This window comes from Homo sapiens, chromosome 14 (genome assembly GCF_000001405.40).
Source record: "Homo sapiens chromosome 14, GRCh38.p14 Primary Assembly".
Classification (NCBI taxonomy): Eukaryota; Metazoa; Chordata; class Mammalia; order Primates; family Hominidae; genus Homo; species Homo sapiens.
In genome coordinates, this window is record NC_000014.9 from 63268423 (window position 1) to 63294551 (window position 26129).

Consider the following 26129-nt stretch of genomic DNA (forward strand, 5'->3'; position numbering starts at 1 on the left):
ACTACTTTTCACCCTCTAAGCGCCCTTTATGTATGTGAGACTGAACCCATACAACATCTTCTGCAACTAAAGTTCAAAATCATAATGAATCAATTGTGCAAAAGCACAGGAATATCTAATTTTAAAAAACTTTTCAAAATGAACGCTAAGCCCTTCTCATTTAACTATTTGCCTTGCTTTATAGGCTATAAAAGTATGTATTAATAGGTGTGATAATATTCTTTGTTTTTAGGGTTTTATAAATATTTCAAAGACAAATACAAGCAGAGAGATTTCTAATAGACAAGCTACTTACACAATTCTGTGCCCTGAAAGGTGTCTCAAACCGAAGAAAAGAAGGCAATAACCTAATGAAAAAGGGGCCCAGCATTCTTTTTCATCAGAAGCTTGGTGTTCTAGAGCCGAATAAGGATCAGTGGGTAGCCCACAGAGTGTCCTGGTGGCACCAATAATATCCATCTCTTTTGAGAAATTTGGACTTGGCTCAGACCATCTGCCATCACTGCAGCCCAAGGTTACCTTTCATTTGGAAATTATGCTGTCAACTTGGTTTAGAATGTACATGAGCGAGGCATATGCTTCTTCTTGCTGCCCAAGGAGATGCTGGCATGGAAACAATGTGAAGGCTCCTGATTGAAGCTTGTGTTTATGGACTCTCCTCTTCTTTTCTTTTCTCTTCTCCCCTAGTTACTGTGACTGTGGGAGGCAAGCAACACTTGCTCGGACTGTATGACACCGCGGGACAGGTACATTTTTATTATCTTGATTCATTGGAGGGCGGTGGTGTAGGGGAGAAAAAGATCCATTTGCTTATGCAGATGGGACTCATAGCACAGATATTACCCATTCTGATCATTTGGGGCCAATTTATTGTCTGCCTAAATGACGACCAAAAGCACATTCTCAATATTTTAAAAATTACAAAAATCTAAATTGTTACATCATTCAAGGCATTGATAGGTAAATAATGATTCTTTTGACTGATGACCATCAAAAACCAGAATAACAGATATGTGACCACGAGTTTCAATTTCTTTCTGTGGAAACCTATTCCAGATTCAGGATTCATAGGTCAGTTTCATAAATTTTAGTTCCACACATGTTTTTTCAGGTTATTTCTTTGCCCACGCTTTATTTGAATTGCCTAATGAACTGTGAAAAGGCCCAAAAAGAGATTGGTGGGGGTGAGGGGAGGAGAGAGGGAGAAGATGGATTACGTGTTGGAAGGAAGAAAAGCCAGGATCCTAGATGTTTTCCAAAATGAGAGTCAACCCTGAATAACTGGAGGTTGACTCTAACTTCCCTAAGATTCTTGAAATATTCTCACTTTGTCAGGACTGTTTCTTCAAGTTGGAGAAACTGGCCCACCAATAACACAAGACAACGGGCTAAAACCCTCAACAATTAATCAGCTGGCACATGCTCTTTTTGGGTGAAAATGGCACTTAATCTGTCTTTCCCAGCATCCCACACATCGCTACGAAGTTTCTCAAGTTCTAATGTTCTAATCCAGTTCACGGATTGGTGGAGGGGAAGTGGTTAAGCAACTGATGGCCGTAGCCCAATTTCTTGGATAGAGCTTTTGTTACCGTATGTCTTGGGTCATCTATTTAGGTCAAAATCAGCGGGTTGTTCAGTCTGTCCAAATTCATACATCTTAAATTCTTTGGAGTGAACATTTTACCCTGCTATTTCTCAGTGTGAGTTTCCTGGGAATTGTTATTTGTAGCGATGCATTCGTCTAGGCCTTTTTTTTTTTTTTTTCACAATTGTTTGGATATACATCGTTTTGCTCAACTTGAAAGTTCTTCACAAGAATATAAATAAATGGAATTCTCTTTGGGGATTTCTGTGAAAATTTGTAAGGACCACTGTGTAAATGTGTGTGGAACATCAAAGGCTGGTGTTGGCCAGGCTAGGGTGTGGAACCTGGAAAATCTAGCACCAGACTCAAAGCTTCTAAGAGCATCCGGCGTCCCCTCATTGGCAGATGCCTGTTTTGGTAAGCTACCGCCAGGAACTGGGAGTGGTAGCAACCTCTCACGCCAATAGCAAGACATACGACTAAGAAAGGAGGCCCCCCATGTGCTCCAATGAAAAAAATCATTTGCCCCTCTGATCTAAGATACAAGAGCCTCGGGATAACTCATACCCCAAACAGAAAGCATTCCAGCAACAAGGGTACACCACTTTGGAGGCCAAAGTTGCCTGCTCTAATTCACTCACATAATCACTGGGGTGTCCCCATTCATCAGGAACTCATAGACTGAAAGAGAGAGGAGTTTATACCCTCTTGCCTCATAGTCAAATTTTACTAATATAATCCTGTTTGAAAAGTTCAATATGGCAATGATTATGTCATGACTCGGAAACCTCTCTCTGGTCCCTCTGGCTTCCGAAAAAGTCTCTCTGTCCCCTGCTGCCCAGTCAGTTGTCCCCTCTTCTGCAGCAATCCAACAAGTATTGCCTCCTGTGTGTTAACTGCCCCAAGAAAAACCTCCACAGGCTTCTGTTTAATTTTAAATCCAATAAAACTCTTTAAAAGCTCTTGTGGAGTTTAATTATTTTTCCCACTGTTCTGTCCTTTTAAGAAAAAATTTAAATAATACTGGTATAAGAGTTGAAGCTGTAAGACATTGTAAAAATATCTTTAAACTCCACATCAAAGCAAACAGAATGGCCCAAACCTCTGACACAAAAGCGATGAAGACTGATAAAATATAACAAATAGATTATAAGATATTTTTTCAACTAACTCTCACTTGAATGCTTTATATTCAGAGGTAGACAAGGCTCAAAAGGAACCATAAAGCATGGGGAAAAGGAATCAGAATATATCTTAAAGTTCCTTCTAGGCCTAAAATTCTGTGATGAGGACTTTTCACATATAATCTCAAGAAATCCTGATAGAACTGGAGTAATTAGGCAAAAGGATTTGAGGCTAGACCCATGGGAGACCTTTCAGCTGTAAAAGCTTACTAAATAATGGGAATGTGTTACACTACAGGATAACTTGTAATTCATTTTCTAGAACAGTGATTCTCAAACTGGAGTATGTGTCAGAATCACCTGTAGGGCTTGTCAAAACTCAGCTACTGTGCCCCACTCCAAGAATTTCTGCTTCTACAGGTCTAGGGTGGGACCCAAGAATTTGCATTTCTTTTATTTTATTTTATTTTTTATTTTTTTGAGACAGGGTTTCACTCCCATCACCCAGGCTAGAGCGCAGTGGCGCAATCTTGGATCACTGCAACCTCCGCTTCCCGAGTTCAAGCAATTCTTCTGCCTCATCCTCCCAGGTAACTGGGATTACAGGCACCTGCCACCACACCCAGCTAATTTTTGTGTTTTTTTTCTAGAGACGGAGGTTTCACCATGTTGCCCAGGCTCGTCTCAAACTCCCAACCTCAGGTGATCCACCCACCTCAGCCTCCCAAAGTGCTGGGATTACAGATGTGAGCCCAAGAGTTTGCATTTCTAACAGGTTTTCTGGCAATGCTGCTGCTGGTCCCTACACCATACTTTGAGAGCCACTCAAAGTGTGGTCCACCAACCAGTGGCATCAACATCACCAGGAAGCATGTTAGAACTGCAGAATCTCAAGGTCTATCCCCAGCCTACTGAATTTGCAAATCCATTTTAAGAGATCTCCAAATCATTAGAATGCACACTAAATTTTGAGAAGCACTACCTAAACGTTTCTGGTGGCTGAGGCATTGTTCTGAAAGTTAGGAGGATGCAATGGAAAATAACCATTACTGAAATGTATCCCCGTAGTTCTACAATTCAGCTATTAAGACTTTGTAACAAATTTAATTTGGAAACAGTGTCCCAAAATTTCCATTCCTAGTCCTAGGTAGAATAATCTGCCTCTTCTCAGTTGTATTCTAGTAAATGTGCTGGATAGCTAAAGAACACATATAATTCAAAATATTCATTTGGTCAATTACAATGGAAGAGAGATGATTTCAAAACCAATTGATTAATCCCTGAACCACAAAAAGAAAATGTCTCTGAATCCAGCTATAGAGTCCATCTTGCTTGAATAATTAGATTTTTGTGCGTGAATAAACCAAGAAGCAATCCTCCACATCTTTGTCTTGAACTAACTGAAGCAAATGTGTTCTGAGAGGTAAAGTAATAGGAACTCATTGTCTCAACCCTCAATGTCAGCGCTAAACAAAATCATTTGACCTGCTTTCCCTTGACTTTGAGGCACCTAGTCTGCCTCAGACCTGGCTACAGCCCCATGAGCCATGGCCTGAGATACTCCTGCCCCTCCGCAATTCAGGCAAGCATGTGCTAAAGATAGTTTATAATGGGCTGGGCACGGTGGCTCATGCCTGTAATCCCAGCACTTTGGGAGGCCAAGGCAGACAGATCACAAGGTCAGGAGTTCAAGACCAGCCTGGCCAATACGGTGAAACCCCATCTCTACTAAAAATACAAAATTAGCCGAGCATGGTGGCGCGCACCTGTAATCCCAGCTACTTGGGGGGCTGAGGCAGGAGAATCCCTTGAACCTGGGAGGCGGAGGTAGCAGTAAGCTGAGATCGCACCATTGCACTCCAGCCTAGGCAACAAGAGCAAAACTCCATCTCAAAAAAGAAAGAGAGTTTATAATGAAGTCACTTGCATACACTGTCAACATGTGGTGGCTGCTGTTAAACATTAGCTCCCTTCCCCAAACCCTGAAACAAACTAACATTTGGACTTGGAGTGGAGCCCTTTGAAGATAGATTCTTCACAACTCCGTTTAATTCCCTGTTAGGTAGAATTCCAAACATTAGATTAGGCAATGAATTGAGGAATTTTTCTCAGGGTGAGTGCATGTTACTTCTCAGATCACACTAGGAAGGAAATAAGGCCAACCAGCCCTGTAAGCCAAATCTATTTAGGTTGTGCCAACTCATCCTGTACGAGACATATCCCTAGTAGTGTGTTACTGAATGTTAAAGGGATATCTAGAGCTCAGATCTTTGGCTCAGCTATGAAAGAGTCCCAGAGCTGACTTTCCCATGATGTCCTTGCAGGCCAGTTTGTTTACAATGCTTCAGGAGAGACCAAGTGGACAGCAGGGTGTTGGTTGGGTTGGGGACGCCACAGCCAACCCTGGGCATTCACCAGCTGAGGAACTTCAGACTGGGAGAGGGCTCTTTCCCAGGTTATGGCTTGCAGCCAGATGTCCTCCTACCTCACTGCAGGTCATTACAGTGGAACCAGCCATAGTACTAAGACAAGGTCTTGCCTCCTTCTCTTGATGTGGCCTCACCTAGAAGGATGATGTGGGCAAAGCCCTATTCAGATTGTGGCCTCTTGGGCAAGACTCTAGGATGGGCATATCTCAGACACAACACCTGTGAAAATGGCAGCTAGCAGCACTGCCAGGGAGGAATGACCGTCTCCTGGTGTCAGGAGCCAGGTGCAGCCTGGCCAGGCGCCTGGTTCTGTGGAAGGGTGAACCACTGCATGTGGGCAAGCACAGAATGGTGTCTGTCACTGAGAAACCACAGCCCACAGCAGCTCAGCTGTCACCAGTGTCTGTGGGAGTAGAGAAGCAAGGAAGGCCATCAGCCGAGCCCCTCACTCGCCCAGGGCTGCTTGTTGCACATCTCCCCCAGGCCCTGATTTCTGAAGTCCCGCTTTCCCCCAATGGCTAAGGAAGCACGCAACCAAGCAAGGAAGCAAGCACAGCTAGGGTTTATGAATGGCAACCCAGGCTCCACTTGGAAGGACACACATAAGCCTTCCCCTTTGCTATTGGCTGATCCAATGGGGCCATCTGGAGCACAGGATCTGGCAGCAACCCTCTATGGAAAGTTTGCCTAAAACCTCAGAACAAATGTTTTCCCTCAATGAGCAACTCCAAATTTCTTGCTCACGTGTATCTTCATGTGGGATTTTCAGGAGTAGGCAATTTGGGAGATTAGGGAGAAGTTTGCCCACATGACAGCTGCTTAGTAAAAGCAACCTCAGGACACAATCTTACTTCTCCCCAAATTATGAAAAAGAGAGCTGTAGGAACACTGAGAGTTGCAGTTGGAGTTTGCAAACATTTGGGTCTTATTACTACTCAGTTCAGAAAAAGTTAATTTCTGAATCAGCCCTGGCATCCAATAAGGGTAGGGAAATGCTTCCAGGACCAGCAGCTGTTGTTGATATGGGCTGGAGGACGGACTCTTTTACTGGATCATTAAAGTACTTACTATGTTCAAGACAATGGTCTAAGTGGCTGCAAATATTAACGTATTTTATTCTCATAACAACTCATAAGGCCAGCACTATTAGCCTCATTTTATGGATAAGGAAAGGGAGGCATGGAGAACTTACCCAGGATCACACCATAGTCACAAACCCAGAGAATTTCTACCCACCACCCATGTTCTTAAGCACCATGCTATGCACGCACACTATACATGGTGCCCACATTTTTCAAATTAAGCCTGATTTATGGGTGAATATGAAAATGAGACTTGTACCAAAAAATCTGAGATAAATGTCATTAAACCCAAGACTTGGAAGCAGAATTCTATTTCCAAATTAATGTGGGTATGGCGGGGTGGGAGGAGCTCAGCGCCTCTCTTTGCTGCTCAAAGTGTGGCCCCTGGACCCAGTAGCACTAGCATCACCTGGACATTTGCTAGAAATGCACATTCTTGGGCTCCATTCCAGTCCTGCTACTGAATAAGAATTTGCACTTTAGCCTGGGCAACATAGCGAGACCCTATCTCTACAACATTTTTTTAATTACCCAGGCGTGGTGTGCATACCTGTAGTCCCAGCTACTTGGGAGGCTGGAGAAAGGATCACTTGAGCCCAGGAGTTCAAGACTCCAGTGAACTATGATCAGTGCACTACAGTGTGAGCAGAAAGTGAGACCCAATCTCAAAACAAACAAACAAACAAAAACAAAATTACATTTTTAACAAGGTCCACAGGTGATGCAAATATATGTAGTGTCTAAGAAGTGCTATCTAGAAAATAATTTCACTTACCTGTGTCATGATGCAGCCTATAATATTTAGGGCCCAGGTGTTTGGCGCATCTGATGCTAACACTTTCTCTGAACTTTTCGTGTTTCATAATCACCCACAGTCACCCCAGAGCACCAGATCTGCCTTCAAACTGAACATGTTCTTGCCTTCAGGGTGAAGTTGGGCTAAAGGCACTCAAAGGCCTACTTTGCCCCAAATCCTTCCCTGCACTCCCCAATCCTAGCCTCTTTGTCTACTTTACCTCCAAAGCCCCATTTGAGCCTCTCTTTTAGATTAAAACGCTGTCTCTTCAAGAAGCAAATAAGCACCTGTTTTCCATTCTGAATTTCAGCATTAGAAAGGGCCTCAAATACCAACTAAACCACTTATCCACTTCTCGTAGCCGCTTGACATCATCTCCACCTGTTACCATCTAACCCAGGGCCAAAGCATGCTCCCTTGTGAAAAAATATTAAGTTACCAGCTGGCACAAATTCAACTCCCCCCAACCCCCAGTCCCAAGGGGACACTTTCTTTTATTAATCCTGACCCCTTTACCATATTTTATAGCTGTAGCCCAGGGTTAGCTCCCAATAGCCCAGGTGTGAGCCTTCTTTAAAAGTATTTTTGCTCTGTTGTCCTGGTTAAATTACTCCATCTGTCTAGACCTTTGTTTCTTAAACCATAAAACTGGCTCAGGGGAGAGGGAAGAACAGTCACCTGTGGTTCTGAAACTTGAGCTGCATCAGAATCACCTGGAGGGCTTGTTACAGCACTGATGGTGCAGCCTCTCCCCCAGTGCCTCAGCTTCGGTGGGGGGGGGCGGGGGCTGCGTGGCACCTGGGAATGTGTATTTCTAACAAGCTCCCAGGTGATGCCCATGCTGCTGGACTGAAGAGCGTAGTTTGGAAACCACTGCATTAGCTAATCTTTAAGGCCTTTTCTAGTGTTGGAATTGTATTTTCCCAATTCAGTCAGATAACTATTCTACATCATTCCATTTTGAGATTAGCCAGCAAAGAGTAAGAGAAACTTAACCTGTCTTACTTCCACATAAATCGAATAATTTCATGTATTTTCATTTTCTTTCCCCAACTGAATTGCCAATTCTTATTCACCTTATATAGTTCATACAGCATCCTCAACAGTGCTACGCATTCAGTAGGCACGAAATCTTTTTAAATGGAATGATACAGCAGGACTAAGGTTTCCACAGAAGAGAGATCCAGAATACAGAGCACGGTGAGCCCAGTGACTGACACTATCAAAAACGACTCAGCTGGAGGGCCAGGAGGGTAAATGATCAGAAACAGACTTCTCTCACCTGCCCCACCTACAGTCAACCCAGCAACCCATGGTCTTCCAACTTTTCCATAATGTAAATAGAAATCCTTTGATAGCCACTGGGTTAAAAAATCAGACAAGCATACTCCTTTCCGACTATTAACAACAGTTATTTGTTCCTACCCAATCTAGTTGTGACATTTCTCCTGATGATGTTTTGCTTTGGTTTTTGGCTTTGAAGTTTTAAATATACAGTGTTGCTGCCATCCAGTGGTAATCTGAAGCAGATGCAGGCCATCAAATAGATGATCCATCCTGTGGTCAAACATTTTGATTGCTGGGTAACATATGAGTCAAGATTCCTAGATAAGTGAGTTAAGAAAATGCTTAATCTGTCACTTTAAATTCTGAGCTGCAGAAAACAGTGTGGTCACAATTGAGAGCCAGAGCTGGATTTAGGCTAAATACCCCATCCTGGTATTTATGAACTCTGTAACATTGGCCCATCATGGAACTTCTCTAAACCTTAACTTCCTCTTCTATGAAATGTGAATGTTGATGGTACCATCCTTCCAGTTCCATCAGGAGGATGCAATGAGAACATACATAAGAGTTTGAAACAATGGCTGACCTTTAGCAATAACCCCTTGGGTGCATCCTCCATTAATGTTGGAGATGATAGTGAAGTACAGCCGTGTTCTCAACTCCAGGTCCACCCCAAACCAATTAAGTCAGAACTCCCAGATACGCAGGCCCACTCTCCAGAGATTCTAATTTAGCTGGTTCCAGAGTAGAAAAGGGGGTGGAGCAAGGAGTTGATTAGCAGAGCTTCAGGATGGTTTAAAAGCTCCCCAGGTGATTCTAATAAAAGTCACTGCAATAAATGGCCCACAGAAGTGCCACGTGTTCATTTGCAGGTCACTGTAGAGGTCATTTCTTCCAGTCTGTCAATAGCATTTATTGAATATTTACTGCGGAAAGAGTACCTGTAGGGATGAGAAAAAAATCAACATGGTCCCTACTCCATTTATGACAATCCAGATGGGAGCATGCAGTGGCAGAGGGCAGGTGGTGTGGTGAACAGCTGTAGATTATAGCCTGGGAAGGAGACTTCTTGGCTCACGGGCCTTACAGCTGCTCTTTAAGGGAACACTCCAGAGAGAAAAGAGAGAAGTGGGGAGACCATGGAAGAGGAGGTTTGTTTTTCAGAGCTAGTTGTGTAAAGAGGAGAGGGTAGTGCCAAGAATTTAGCTATCCCTTTCTCCACTGCCTCACCAGCTACACAAACACACACACACACACACACACACACACACACACAGACATAGGCACAACTTGGCTGAGATGCAACCCAGTAGACCTGGCACAACTTCCCAGTATGACCAGTGATTATTCAGCTGTGCACCCAACTCCCAATTATTGACTAGAAATGTGGTAAATTAGCCACAATAGTGGGGGTTTTTTTTGTTTTGGGTTTATTTTTTAGGATTTTACTTTTCAGCATCATTGCCCTCTTGCTTTGCATTTTGCATTAGGTACCTAAAACCTGTGCTTAAGTTTTAATAGTAGTAGCAGTAGTGGCCACATATACTGAGTCCCGTGTTCTGCATACTCTGAGTAGCTAAACAATAGATCAATGCATGCCCACCAACAGGAGTGGACCATACTTAACATTCTAAGGTACTTCCTTTCAGTCTCATGTGTATGTAGTGTGCACATGTGTGTACTTCCTTTTCTGGTCTTTTTTAAAATTTTTTTTATTATACTTTAAGTTCTGGGATACATGTGCAGAACGTGCAGGTTTGTTACATAGGTATACACGTGCCATGGTGGTTTGCTGCACCCATCAACCCGTTATCTAATAAATATATTATTAGAGTCAATAGAAAGGTTGATATTAAAAATATATCCATGATATATTGTTTTAAAAAACACAAGTGGCACAACAATATGAACAATTTAATCAATTTGTTTTTAAACTAAACATGTGTATGTGGTATACATACATAAATATAAAATGGGCCAGGTATGGTGACTCACGCCTATCATCCTAGCACTTTGGCGGGGGCTGAGGCAGGAGGATTGCTTGAGCCCAGGAGTTCAAGACCAGCCTGGGCAACACAGTGAGACCCCCATCTCTACAAAAAAAATAAAAATTGGCTGGGTGTGGTGGCATGTGCCTGTAGTCCAAGCTACTTGGGAGGCTGAAGTGGGAGTATCGCTTGAGCCCGGCAGTCTGAAGCTGCAGTGAGCCATGATCACGCCATTGCACTCCAGCCTGGGCAATAGATTGAGACTCCATCTCAAATAATAAAATAAAGTAAAATAAAATGTTTGGAAGGACAATGTTTAAGCAGTAGCTCCCTCTGGGGAGAGGAAATACTATTAGACATCATATCAGGGATGAAAACAAGCTTTCACTTCAACTCTGTGTACTTCTTCAATGTTTGCATTTTTGCAATGAGCACATACATGTTTTGTAAGTTTCTGAAATGTTTCATGAAGAGTAGTCATGCCCCTAATAAATGAGTTAATTATTTATTAACCCATCTCTATGAATACATGTATATCATAGGTGTGAACATATAAGTTTAGTTGCACATATAGTATACACACATATATAGTGCACACACATCATATATAGTGTGTATACACATACAAATTATGTATGGTGTGTATGGACACATGTCATGTTGCGATATGTGATGTATATATAAATATGGTATGTGTATGCACGCTTACACACAAAGTTACTGTCTGTTTATGTGTTACTAAATTCTATAAAAACATATAAAACTTTCTATTGAAATATCAGGTTTTACCGTGGAACCTCCTAAAACATTTTACATACAGTAAAAGCCCTTGCCAACATTTTCCCAAAGTCGAAATGATGCGCAGTTTTACTTTGTATTTATCAACTCCCACTAAAATAGCAAATACATAAATATCTTATGTAACCAGAAACTCTTCCATGAGCATATTCTGCTCTGAAAAATCTTTAGAAAGAAAATAATTAAGCCAGCATTTTATTTGGCCTTTAAGTAATACTTGAAACAAATCCAAAATTCTTAGCTCTAAACCCTCACTCAACATATTTCTTCAAATATTGTGGTGTCAAATTTGGCAATAACTCTTGTTTTGCATGTTAGTTCATTTATTCTAAATTAAATTTGGATATAATTTTTTTTAATCGTGTGAGGAGAGGATTCCTGTTGCCTTGGCAAATAGCTCACTAATTTAAATATAGTATATTCAATATAACACAATTCCAACATGATGGAAGAATTGCAATAATCTTTACTGAATGTTACACTTTAAATGGGTGAACTTTTGGTCTTTTGTTTTATTTTGTTTGTTTTTTGAGACAGGGTCTTGCTGTGTTGCCCAGGCTGGAGTACAGTGGCATGATCACGGCTCACTGCAGCTTCAAACTCCCAGGCTCAAGCCATCCTCCCACTTCAGCCTCCTGAGTAGCTGGGACTACAGGCGTGTGCCACCATGCCCAGCTAATTTTAGTATTTTTTTGTAGAGATAGGGTCTCGCTATATTGCCCAGGCTGATCTCAAGCTCAAGGAATCAGGTGATCCTCCCGCCTTGGCTTCCAAAGTGCTGGGATTACAGGCATGAGCCACTGTGCCTGGTCAGGTGAACTTTTGAATACATAGAAACAGAGAGTAGAACTATTGTTACCAGAGGCAAGTAAGGAAAGGAAACGGGGAGGTTTTGATCAAGGGTACAAAGCTGCAGTTAGCTAGGGTGAATAAGTCTACAGCTGTAATATACAGCATGATAACTATAGTTAATAATACTATATTGCATACTGGAAATATGCTAAGAGAGTAGGTCTCTGGTCCTCTCACCGTAAAATATATTTTTAAAGGTAAGCTGTAAGGAGATGAATATGTTAATTTGTTTCACTGTAGCATATATATGTATATCAAACACCATGTTGTACACCTTAAATGTATACAATTTAAAAATAAAAATAAATGGGTGAACTTTATGGTATATATAGGTAGGTATATAAGTTATATCTCAATAAAACTGCTAAAAATATTTTAAGTTCATCTTAAGAAGGGGCAATACATAATCTCTGTACGTAACAAAAAGGTATTTTTCTGACTGATGGCTCCTTTAGTTCTAGTAGAGAAAGAACTACCAGATTCCAGGGTTGAGGAAGAAACGGGATCCCAGTGCGCTGTAGTGGACTCTTACCTGAAATCTGACCTTGGAACTACATGGGACACACCTTACACAGGCTGTACAAACCCTTGTCTGCTCTTCCCACAGGAGGACTACAACCAGCTGAGGCCACTCTCCTACCCCAACACGGATGTGTTTTTGATCTGCTTCTCTGTCGTAAACCCTGCCTCTTACCACAATGTCCAGGAGGAATGGGTCCCCGAGCTCAAGGACTGCATGCCTCACGTGCCTTATGTCCTCATAGGGACCCAGGTTAAAATGTGGGCGATGGCAGGGTGGAGCGGGCTGCAAAAATGGGAAGACCCTTTAGGTACCTCGTGAACATCCTATTCTGCCAAACGCTATGGAAGTGTGTCTCAGACATGTCAATCCTATGAACAGAAGTTCTTAAGGTGTGCGTGATGATTTAGCCCATAGTGGAAAAGATAATAGAGCTATTTAATATGGAGCAGAAAGTTTTGATATGGCCTTCAAAAATTAATCTCTATGATTTTTTTTAAATAACAAAGTAATTTTTAAAATAGACACCCTTTGCCAGGCTTGAATCAGAGCAATGAGGTGAGGGTGTCAATTGAACATATTATCTAGTATTTTTTATATCTGAAACCCACAGTTGTTTTAAAATCACAAAATAGGTAGGAGTGTCAAGGTGACCACAGCAATCAGAATAGGCATTCTATGACAGGAACTCTTTAATTACACTTCCGGAGAAGGAAGATAAAAATTCACCATTGTCTATTCCTTTTAAACCTCTTGGTCTTCCAGATCTTAGAGAAGAAGTTAAAACACATATACCAGCTAAACAAACCTACGACTGTGAAAGCCTTTACAGTGTTCTGAAAGCTAATCAATTTCCATAGTTTGAGTTTCCAGTAGTAAGCCAATCACATCAAATGTATTAAGGATTGTTACTGTTTATAGTTTTAAATGGATTTTGTTCTTTGGCATTTTAAAATCCAAATGACTATCCCAAAGACATAGGAATATACGAATACTGAAGGGCTTCATTGTTATCTGTTTCATACGCTATTTCTTTCTATTATTCATTTATGTTCTTTTTGAACAAGAGAATTTTTTAACACAAAGGAGAGAAAAGAAAAATATTTCCTGAAGAAGATATGGACAGGTACACAGTAGATGTATTTACTTAGAGAAAGTAGAGGAATACACATCTCCATAAATCAGAGTAATCATAGTTAACGCTTCTGCTCTGAAAGATAATCGTTTGTTTAAATGAAGTCTTTTGCCTTGAATTCCAGATAATAATATTTGCCCATATTGATGGAGCCTGAATCCCTGCTGCCAAATATGTGACAGAACATTCAATCACCTTTCTGTGATTCAAGCTGATTTTATTAGAGATAGGCACAAAATTGAACAATTATCACACACACAAACACATGCACACACACACACACACACACACACACACACACACACAATTAGTAGAGCTGAGTAATATGCTTATAAAAGGGACCCTAATATATTGGTCTTTCTTTAAGACACAAGCCCTTGCTTTCCCACATTCACACCCACTCATGAACACATGGATTCGCATACACAGTGAGGCTTTAAAGCAACCAAAATATGTAATTAAATTATCAAATCTAATCCAGATATATAAATGCTATCTTCAAAGTTCTACCTTTGAAAAGATGAATGCTTATCTTGAGCAAACCCTTTGAAAACTTCTCTTAGGGACTTGCCTTCCAGAGCTTGCAGAACATTTGTTAGAATATCCTCACAGGTAGCAAATCTTCATACCTCCTTTGAGGATGAAGATTTTATTTGGAAAAGCGAAAAAAAAAAAAAAAAGATGGGTTCAAAGCCAGGAAATAAACTAGTAAATAATGAGTAATATAATTTGGGATCAAATAAGGCCTCACTGAAAGGTAATGAGACTGATTGGTTATCTTGCATGCCCTGTAAGTAGAATCTAGAAATAAATAGAAAATTTTGAAAAAACATCTGAGATAGCAACAGAATCATCCGAGTAGTCTTCAGCTTGCAGGGTAACTGTTTGAAGGGGAAAACGTAAGGAAAGTCTGTTGTGTACATTTACAAAGAAATGGCTTTACTTTTTTAGACATAACATGGGCATGTGAATCTGCTTCCTTAAAGAAAATTTAGCAACTTCAAAGATGTTAACAGGGAAAAAGACTCTATGATGTCACAGTTTAAAATATCTGGCAAGGCCTGAGAAAACAAATAAGTTTTCACGTGTGTTTTCTTGCCAGATTGATCTCCGTGATGACCCAAAAACCTTGGCCCGTTTGCTGTATATGAAAGAGAAACCTCTCACTTACGAGCATGGTGTGAAGCTCGCAAAAGCGGTACAGTCAGATTTGAATTTCATTTTAAATGTATGCTGAGAGAAGAGTGTGTTGTATGCTTTGGAAATGGGTGTGCAACACTGGGTTTTGCTTTAAAGTGCAATGTGTTTAGAATCTTCTCTAAGCTTTCTATTCTCCCCCTCTGTTCTAGTCGGGCTGGAAGGAGCCATTTGGTTAGCCTTCTTGTCAGCCAGCATTGTCTGTTTTTCATTCAGAAAGCAATTTGGTGAATTTAAACAGCTGAAGCACTTATCATTTGATTTAGCAACCTCTAGAACATCTACTTGCCATATTTAGTATGAATATAGGGAGTCGTTAGATATATATTTGTAAATCTCACTGCTTATTATGGATGTAGCTCATTTAAATAACCCCATAAGAGGCATTTTGTGATTTTCTTGGGAGAGACTTGGGTTAGCATCTGGCAGGGTTATATTTGTCCAGTATTTCTCACCATATAATGAATAGCCACTTAGAGAGCCTGGATTGTGTCACAAACAGCATCTGGAAGGATAACAGATACCAAAAAGTGACTAGCTGGGGATCTAAGTGGCTGTTTGGCAGATAATAGCTCAGAGCTGGAACTGTTTTCATGGACCTTTCTTCCTTCTTGAGAGCTTAACATGAAGAGTTAAGAAAATGCTTTAGAAAGTTTTTGCCAGACACCAAGTCTTTGCCTCCCCCATTACCCCGAGATGTGAGCAAAGCAGCCACTGAAAAATATTCGAGAGGGTGGACGTGCTTTATGCAAGAGGAGGCCGATAAATCACACCTCCAGAGCTTAAATCGGACTCCTCATCAAGTCATAAATCTATTGACCCAGGTCAGAGGTTTGGAAATTTTCAATCTTACTTTCTAAGTGACTAACCTAGTAAAACGCATACCGCAGGCAGAGTTAGAAGTCACTCTCTTCAAGCCAGTCAAGAATATTAACTACAAATTCTTCACTTACAAAATTGTATGCATTTATCTTATTAAATCTTGCTTGCAGGCACTAAAACTAAGCATGATACACTCAACTAGAAATGAATTAAATACAATCATGTTTTTACAGGTATCCTGCATGAGAACCTCTCACAACACCTGATCGAGATACTGAACTCTTCCTACTTCTATGCACAGTAATGTCAATACTAACTAGCGCCAGACGTCCATGGAGTCCTTAGGATCCTAAGTACTTAATAATATCTCTCACTTCAGCCTCATAATAACCCTCTTAAGCAGATAGCGTTGGTCTCAGCTTACAGATGAGGAAACAGTCTTAGAAGACAAGCACATAGCTAATAACAAAGTCAAAAACTTCCAATCCAGCTCTGTGGACATCACCACTCGTGTACCTGACCGTCACGTAAATGACCTCCAACTGTGTATCTTTCCTTGGGTGAAATGGGTTTATGCCTGTAGGTGCTTCTACCTTCTCCTCAAACATTCATCCTCAAATGCTCTCATTAAGATACCTAAATATGTAGCTCCATAAATAATTGTAGGTGGCTCCTTTCTACACATTTTTCACAGCCAGGATGTCCCCATTGGCCGGCACCAGCTTCTTGCAGGAACTCGCGTTCTGTGTTCCTTCATGCCGTCAGCTTCCTAGCCTCACTTCTCATTGGGGAAGTTGTTTTTTTTCTGTCTGAAAAGAAGTCGTTTCAAAGCCTCCCATCTCGTTTCATACTTATTTTTGGAACAATGGCTGAGTTCACCATTTATATTGCCTTTTGCTAGTTTCTCCTAGCAACTGCTCTCAGATACAGACGGAATCATGTTTAGCTTACAAAATCCAATTTAGAAGAAAACCTAGCAAGATTTTAACTTGTTTTATCACAATTCATGTAATTATAGAGATGCTTTAAGTTTCTCTACTCTCTGACTTTTCTGTCAAGTAGTTTATAATCTCAGCTAGCATTTATGGAGTGTTTATAATGTGCTAGGCTTGGTGCCAGGCGCCTTACAGCCTTTGTCTTAATTAATCCTCACAGCAACCCCCTGAGGTGTGTATATTATTATCTCCACTTTCCTACAGGAAACTGAGGCTCAGAGAGGTTAAGATCGCCCAGCTAGCAAGTGGCAGAGTGAGGATAGAAAACTGTGCTTTAACCACCTGCTCTTCTGCCTCCCTCCTATAATCTGAAAAGAAACCTTTAGGTTTGGGGCTTCTTTTTTATATACTGGAGTCCCTTATTTTCATGTGCAAAGTTCCCCCCCAACTTAAAGGCTTTGCAAGTTCAGATTTTTCATATCTGATTCTTTCTGTTCAATACTTTTCCATTTCCAAAGCATTTTCCACCTAACATCTCTTTTTGGTCTCAAAGGGTGTTTTATTTTCAAAGGACATTTTTATATCATACACATTTACAATTCTTTATACTCCAAAGTCAACCACATTTACATATTTTGCACTAATTTATTATAAATATTCATTATTCTTTGACTTCTTTTATTCTCCCTCTTCTTTCTATTACTGTAGTTTTTAATCCTCAGCCTACTTTTCCCATTCTTTTACACATTTGTAACTGCCCCTATTGCTGCTAGAATTATTAAACAACAATTGATTAAGCACCTAATATGTGCCAGGTGCTATGCTGGATGCTACACTGTTTAGCTCTAAGATTGTAATTCTTTGTGCATTCTCTTTCCCAGTTCTATCTAATACAGTCTAAACATGATCTTCTAAGTTCAGACTTCCTAAGGTATTTTTTGATACAGGAATTTGCCATTTTTTCTTTTTTAATCTCTGGGTTCTCTTTGCCCTCTCCGGCCATCTTCTTCACACTGTGCCTTTTGTCGTTGTCACTCTTTAACTTGGCACCTGCTAAGTTTCCTGCTGGGTTTTTAACATGCACAGGTGGGATTTAAAGCAGCAAAATTGCTGCAAACACCCTGTCATCAATGTTCAGTCACGTTAATCAACTGGAGTCTTTAATGCCCTCTTCCTGACTGGAAGAGTCACTGCCACCTGCCTTGTGCTGGCCATTTTCCCTTTCTCCCTTGGTCATTGAAAGTCACTTCACCACTGGTGTCTGGGTTACAAAGGCCAGAAGAGGAGGGAGACAGGCAAACAAAAGCATGCCACCTGGATAAACACAGTAACACACATCTGGGCAATGTACCAGGTAGCACAGAAGAGAGAGAGACTAATACATTCACGGAAGGAGGTTTCAGAGATTTCTTTAACCAGGTAACATCTTATCCAGGTTTGAAGGATGAGGAAAAGTTTTTCAGGTGGGCAAAGGGGTCTGGGGAGGGCATAAAATTCTAGACAGGGAGACCAGGACATGCAAAGGCATCCTTTAAAGCATAGGGAGCAGATTGGCAACTGACGGGCCAAAGTTCACCCACAAATGTTTTCATTAGTCCAAACACATATTTTTATTGCAATTTAGTGGCCAACATTTAATAGTTTGGAAACACATTTCTAGCCTCTAAAAGAAATTCAGAAGGTCGAGCAACTCTAGCCCAGCATTTCCTCATCAACAGAAACTGTTAAACAGTCTCTTAGATTAAGCATGTATTCTTCAGTCTGCCACAATCCCCACCACTCCATATTATCCTATACTCAAGTAACACACTTTACATTATCCAGCCTTGAATTGGCATCTCTGCATTATAGTCTTCAAAGATCAGCAGCAAATCTGTCTGGCCTAGAAATGTTTTTCCTCTTTCACCAATTTGATCATAATGCTGACTTGTTGAGATGGCGGCTTTTCTCTTACAACCTGTTTGGTTCTTTTTCTTTTTCTTGGCTCTCTATTTGCCTTCTCTGTGTGCCTTTGCTAATTCTCAAATGAGGAATACAGAACTACTCTGCTACTAGCCATTTCTTTAGATACGAGCTTACTCTGTTTATTCCACTAACATCTTCTCTTCTTTTCTCTCCATTTACAGGACATGCCTTCCTTCTTCTTCCCTTCTCTCATCACCTTTACTATATCCGTAACAGCTTTGCCCATTTATTCATTAATTTTGCTCTTTCAGCCACAATTTCATGACATTTGCTAGAGACAGCCCAAAAGAGTAGTTAAGACTTTGGCTCAGGAGGCAGACAAATTCGAATCTCTGCCATTTTCTTAGTTGTGTGGCCATAAGGGAGGTTACTTAGCCTCTCTGGGTATCAGTTTCCTGAGCTGTGAAATGAGGATGGTGACAGATTTTTCCTTGTAAAGTTCTTGTGACAATGAAATTAGCTCATGTACCACAAGGTCCAGCTCAGCAAACTATAGTTGCTGTTAAATCCATGAGCCCTCTCAGACATGTCTACAGCTGGGAAGATCTCTTTGCCTTTATCCCTTCCAGTTACTTTCTATCTTATTCTATAACTTGTCCTGCCCCAACTAGAACAACATGGAAGAAGTACTAGGTTTTCTTTTACTTGATTAGTCATTACGGTTTTTTTTTTTTTTTCTTATCACTCTTGTATCTTCTGTACATCGCTGATAAATGTCCCTGCTTTTGAGATAATAAGTTTTAGCTATTATAAAACAATAAGAAAAGTGTTTTTTCAGTTTACACCCTCAATCTCTACTTTTTTCTTGAAAATAAGTCATTTGGGTAGAACACATTCCAGTTTGCTTGCATGTGTATCTAAACAAGGAGGCTTGAATCCTGAACCCTCCCAGATGGCTTCTAAATACTTGACTGTGTAGGTCATTTTGCTCCAAGGAGCAGATGAAGTTGCTGCTGTAATAAGGGCCACATTTCCTTGAGACAATTTTTCATTTCACATCTTTGAGGACACAGATCATTTTTTTTAGCAATCTGGCTGTGCTTTTTCCTTGAACCGGGATGAATTCTTCTCCGACCCTCATAGCACTTGACACATGGTAACAATACCTACCTCATAACTGGATTGTTTCTCACACGTGTTTCCCAAATGACACCAATAATCTGATGACTACTTTTTCTATCAGTACAACATAATGTCATATTAACTCAGTTACACAATAATGCCTTTATCTGCTATTTCATTATCTTCAGAAATGTCTGAATTGGAAGAGACAAGCTTGGGCTCCTCCCGCTCCATCGAAAGGCAAAGCCTGACATGCTGTCAGCTGCACACTGGGGGCAGGAGGATGGGGAGTGCCCTGCCCCTCCTGCAGGACTCCAGGTGTGAGTGAGCTCAGCCCAGCTGTCCTGGAATTCCAGGCAGAATCAATCCTAGGCTTGGGATCCTTAGTGGAGAGGTATTCCAGATAGAAAGGTGCTACAGCAGTTTCTAGGTATTTTCCAGACAAGTGCCACCACGTTACAGTCAAGTCATTCAGAATCATTCAGTTGGCAACGCTGTTGCCATTAGATTAATGTGCTTTTCACATGTGTTTGAATCAAGCATTGAACACAGTCCCAAAATGCAATAGAAGGCATTTCATTATGTTATTAGGAAAATTTTCTCTGCGCTTTATTCCTCTCTTGTATCTAACTGTTTTTAATTATTTAAAAAAGTTATTTTCTAATCTGAAAACCAAACCATGGTCAAAATGAAAGCCATAAAATAGATTTTCAACATCCAACATCGTTTTCTTTTGGTATTTTCCCTTGGCTCATTCAGTAACCATTCTTGTCAGGAAAAAAATGAAAAATGCATAATCTCTGTCGGAGAGTTTAGGAAATAGTGTCTGGGCCCAACCAAAACCACTTTATTTGATGGTTAGTTTTCATATTTGTGGCCTTTGAAATAAGTGGACAATCTCATTTCATTAACTGTCAACTTGACCAGCTTCTTGCAGAGCTGAGTGATAGGGGTCACAGTTACTGCCACAGAGCAAGGAAATGAACATGTATCAAGAGACCCAGATTCTGGGTCTATTTCTTTCACTTTCTAGGTGAGTGCCCATAAGCAATTCATTTTACCTCTCTGGGGTTATTCCCGCTCTGTTCTAAGCTAAACCACAAGTTCACTTAGTCCACACATTGCAAACTGGCTGGCTGCTGCCAAATATATCCCACATCAGTGTCTTGCTTGGCCCATGGTAAATAGTTCATAAACTGGTAAATATTAAATAAAAAATCCAAATGTCCAACTCCTCTTGAAAAATACAAAAATGGGCAATAGTAAACCAACATTACCACTTGGAAGCTGATAAGACTGCACACCCTAGAGGGGGCATGTGCTTTACAGCCCACCATAGTCCCCTCCTCTCCCTATTGTCTTGCGCCAGCCCCACTTTATCATTTACATAAGCTATTGGGCATAATAGGCCTATGATTTTGCTACCTTGTTTTAGCCATTTGTCTGCTGTAGTTTCCAGGAACTCGCCATTTAGCCAACCTCTTCTGAATCTGCTTTAATTTTTCAAAGTGATTCTTAAAATGCGAATCAAAAACTAAAGTCATTTCTCCAGATGTCCTTAATAGTAAAAGGCCAACATCACATCATTGACTCTTCCTGAGCTTATGAACAAATAAAACCGCAGGTCTCCTTCACAAGAAGCTGACTGCTAAATATGGTCTGCCCTGGTCTGTGATTTTTAAATGAGAATCTATAGTTCTGGCCTGAATTTCTATATTTCTCATGAGAGGTTTGTGATTATCAAACACACCATAGTATGAAATCATCAGAATATTTAAAATGAAGCCCTATGCAAGTATGAAATACCTTATCATTTAAATATATAGACTGTACACTGACAGGATGTCTCTGGCATTAAATGTCTTTTATGATTATCGTTACATGTTTTATTGTTATTGTTACATGTTTTAGTGGGTTTTTTTTTTAACTTTTTAAAAAATATGCCTTTTAAAGTGTGTTAAGGCTGGCTGCAGTGGCTCATGCCTGTAATCCCAGCATTTTTGGAGGCTGAGGCGGGCGCATCACATGAGGTCAGGAGTTCAAGACCAGACTGGCCAACATGGGAAAACCCCGTCTCTACTAAAAATACAAAAACTAACCCGGCTTGGTGGCACACGCCTGTAATCCCAGCTACTTGAGACGCTGAGGCAGGAGAATCACTTGAGCCCAGGAGGCAGAGGTTGCAGAGTTAAGATGGTGCCACTGCACTCCAGCCTGGGCAACAAGAGCGAAATCCATCTCAAAAATAAATAAATAAAGTATGTTAAAACTAAATAATAATGCCAATTGGATATTACCTTGTTGAGGGATACCTTAAAAGAGGTACATTTTAATCAAGAATGACCTATAAAACCATATCATTCACTCTCTTTCTATCTGCTTTATCAACCAAGCTGACACTTTGCCTTTTATCATACCAAAGAAGATACATTTCACTTGTACATGATTTACACATTCTGCCTACAAATGAGAGGATATGAAAAACAAGATCATGCACCCCTGTTCTTCACAAAACATATTTAAATTATATCATTGGTTTTGAATTGTCTCCTAATTTTTTAGATCTTTGCATTTTTTATGTTCTTAGGAATAAATGGCTATGGGTCAATTTTAGGATTTACTGCTTTCCAGAAGTAATCCACAACCATTTATTGCAAATAAAGGAAAGTAAAAAATACAAAAATACAAAAAAAAAAAAATAGGATAGCAGATACAAATTGAAATGGAAAAAAAAAAAAAAAGACAAACATAATCCAAACCACCCCACAGGCTGTTTGTAGGACAGGCAGAAGTAAGTGCTTGTCTGGGCAGTGAGTTGATACCACTGTGCTTTTCTCTCTTTTTTATCTCTCATGCCTTTCTCTCTTTTGTGTTTAAGATCGGAGCACAGTGCTACTTGGAATGTTCAGCTCTGACTCAGAAAGGTCTCAAAGCGGTTTTTGATGAAGCAATCCTCACCATTTTCCACCCCAAGAAAAAGAAGAAACGCTGTTCTGAGGGTCACAGCTGCTGTTCAATTATCTGAGGTTGTCTGGGACCTGCCTCCACCCCATCCAGGGATGAGAATGGCAGCCAATCTCTGTGGCCAAGCTCCAGCCAAAAAGGAGGGCACGACCAGAAAGGAACTCCCTTTGCACGGAGGCTTGCCCCATCACCCTCTGAGCCCTCCCAACACAGCACACTAGTCAGCCCACTGCCACGACCTCCCTGCCAGCCAGAAGCATCCGTACTGCACGCTGTCTGAGAATGCTGGGCCTGGATTGCAGACAGTGCCGCTGCTGATCGCATCAAAAACAAAGTCAAAGGCCATCTCACATTTTACAAATCCCCAGCTCATGAACGTGAAGCTGATAGGAAATCACCCCAGGGAACCCGAAAAAGAAACTTGATTCCTCTATTGCTGGCCTTACTTGATGTCTTTTATAAAACTTGGGACTACAATACTAACCTTTTTTTCTGAATCTGCTGTTCTACCCATGTGTCTCACATTCATTTGTATTATTTCAAGAAATGTACTAATTTCCAGTTCACTCAGGCCTTACTAATCCATACCAAATTAGCCTAAAGACAAGGCATTTTATATTCATTTCTATTTTCAGCATGTTTCTACCAAAGCTATTAGAACCAACACGTACCTCTGAATGCCCGATTATAAGAAGACATGAGAAGACTTTAAAAGTTTTGGAAATTTACAGAGCCATGATTTTTGAACCTAATTGAAAGAAAACCATCTGAATTGTTGCAGGTCCACATTTTTGCCAAAGATACACTCTATAGATGCTTAGTAGTGGCCTGATTTTTTTCCATGTATTGCCACGACAAACTAAAAATGAACTGTGTTTAAGAATGTAGTATTTCTGTTTTTCATCCAAGTTGATTGGGGGAAGAATATGGCAGGATCCATCTTTTACAGTATTTTGTATTCAGTAAAGTGGACATTCCTGCTCCTCCCTTCCCCCATTGCATGCCCTCTTCCTCCCTTGATTTCACTTTCTCTCATGCCCGGATCCTTTTATTCTCCCCAGTTATAACCCAGTTATAAAAGAAAGATCTGAGCATAAAGATACGTGTTTAAAAATAACTAAAAGTAAAGGAAAGTGCCTTAATTTTTCTATTTGCTTCAACTGAAAGTGCTTCTCAGCTCGCCCCATGTAAGTTCTCATTCCATGTAAATGACATTTTCCAGTTACAACTGGTACTGAGATTTTGCCTCTCTCTTTCCTTACTCATCCTCCCAAATGTCTTTGTGGGAGCCATATCAGTGGATACCAAGCTCTGTATCCATTTGTCCCCTGCCCTCCACAATGTGTGACATAGAACAGGGACTTTGGCCCTGGGAAAGCAAAAGCTCCCAGTAAGGAATCCTGTGCCCAATGATGTAAAACAATTCCAAACATCCAGGAATTTTTGTATCATAGAGCGAATTACTTCCTATCTTTTCATTAGAGGCTATGAGGACTTCTAATTAGTCTTAGTTGCTTATAAGTGCCCTGGAATCACCCAGGTAGGCACTTAATTTTTTTTTCAGTTGCATGAGCAAAGTGCTTCTTAGTAGTGTGAAATTACAACAACTTTAAGACTTTCCAGATTCAAGCTCCCACTGTTGGAAAAAGCCAGCCTTTCTAATCTCTTCTGCTACTGGAATAAGCACTTAAGAATTGCGTGATAGCCAGGCACCGTGGCTCATGCCTGTAATCCCAACACTTAGGGAGGCTGAGGTGGGTGGGCCGCTTGAGCTCAGGAGTTCAAGACCAGCCTGGGTAATATAGTGAGATCCTGTGTCTCTATAAAAAAATTAAAAATTAGTCAGTTGTAGTGACACATACCTGTAGTCCCAGCTACTCAGGAGGCTGAGGTGGAAGGATCACTTGAGCCCAGAAGGTAAGGCTGCAGTGAGCTGTGACTGTGCCACTACACTCCAGCCTGAGTGACAGAGAAAGAACCTGTCAAAAAAAAAAAAAAAACAACCTACATTTCAAGTACTATTTCCCTTCTCTCCCATCTAATTGCTAAAGATTTTCTTTCATACGCACACACTCCAGTGACTGGAAAAACGGGAGTTTTCAGTCAAAGCTTGACATTTAGAGAAAACAAGGACTTTCTGCCTTTATAAATGGAAATCAACTGTGTATGAACTATAACTCTGCAGAGGTTATGAATTCATCCTTTACAAACAATAATGAACTTTTAGTCCTGTAATAAATGAAATGTTATTAGGCAGCTTTGTTGCATGATTGCATAGTTATATCTTGCTAACGGGCCACTCATTTCTCACTGATGTGGATGAAAAAATGAGAGCAGTATGTTTCCAGGTGTGTGCACTCAACAGGCAAATAGCTCCCGAGGTCACCACTTCCCTAATGGGCCACAGGAAGTAAGTTGATCTTGATGGGGAGATCACGTCACCCAGAACCAGCAACTGGATAGAGACTGTTGTTAGTGTCTGGGTAGAGCACAGGCTCCCAGGGGTCTTAAGAGCTAATTACTGAATAAAACAATCTAGAACAAAGCAACCTAAATAAGTTGATGTCATTCTGCCAAATTAATCAGTTATTCCTTGTTTCACGGCAAGATCCAGTTTGTTTCACTAAAAAGTGTTTTCTGCTATAAGATTAAACTGTCTTCTGAAACCAAAGATAAGAAGAGACATAGAGGCCCGGCGCAGTGGCTCACGCCTGTAATCCCAGCACTTTGGGAGGCCAAGGCTGGCAGATCACCAGGTCAGGAGATCAAGACCATCCTGGCTAACACAGTGAAACCCCATCTCTACTAAAAATACAGAAAAAATAGCTGGGCGTGGTGGCGGGCACCTGTACTCCCAGCTACTCGGGAGGCTGAGGCAGGAGAATGGCGTGAACCCAGGAGGCGGAGCTTTCAGTGAGCCGAGACCGCACCACTGCACTCCCGCCTGGGCGAAACAGCGAGACTCTATCTCCAAAAAAAAGAAGAGACATAGAAATTTGAAGAAGGATCCTTTAATGGTCTACACCGTCTTCCAAAGTCAAGAAGTGGCAGCTGATATCCATTTGAAAGTAGAATCCTAGCTTTTCAGAGCTAGACAAGGCCTCAGAAACTATAGTTGAATTCCTCATTGTACCAATGAGAAACTCAGGCCTAGATGGGTAAAAAGAGGTGTGTTGTAGCAGTGCTGGGACAGATCTCGGTTTTTCTGCTTCCTATACAATCCTCTTCAACCCAATACTACAATGTATTTATTATCACATATTAAGCTGGAGATTTGTAGCCATGTTATTAGAGTTGCAACTGTTTATCCTATAGATTCCAGCCACATTTTAAACACATAACTTCATGTAGTTAGGCCACTAAAAATAAAGTAATCCATCAAACTAGTAATACACTAGAGAATTTGACCTACATACTAAGATGCCTGAAATCCACAGTATATGGCAATTTAACCCCCATCTAATAGTGGCTCAATCAAGTAGCTAAACATATTTATTTCACTCAGATGGTTGGTTGTTTGGTAGAAGGAATGGACTCCTTGGGCTATTTTGGGAACAAAAAAGGACTAGGACACAAATCAAAGCCACA

The 26129-nt window shown here is 40.8% G+C and overlaps 1 protein-coding gene across 3 annotated transcripts in view; it reads left to right on the top strand.

Moving 5' to 3' along the window:
- RHOJ (ras homolog family member J) overlaps nt 1-25086 on the top strand; it is an 89066-nt gene extending 63980 nt beyond the window's left edge. The window contains exons 2-5 of one of the 3 annotated variants that reach the window (NM_020663.5): nt 688-746; nt 12549-12713; nt 14699-14794; nt 22456-25086. In NM_020663.5, coding sequence (NP_065714.1) covers nt 688-746; nt 12549-12713; nt 14699-14794; nt 22456-22602 — 467 coding nt within the window. In that variant the 3' untranslated portion in view covers nt 22603-25086. Of the gene's footprint in view, nt 1-687; nt 747-12548; nt 12714-14698; nt 14795-19765; nt 19896-22455 lie in introns of those variants that run through there. The other 2 variants (XM_047431613.1, XM_011536993.4) reach the window with 2 other exon arrangements.
- Nucleotides 25087-26129: the final 1043 nt, after the last annotated feature.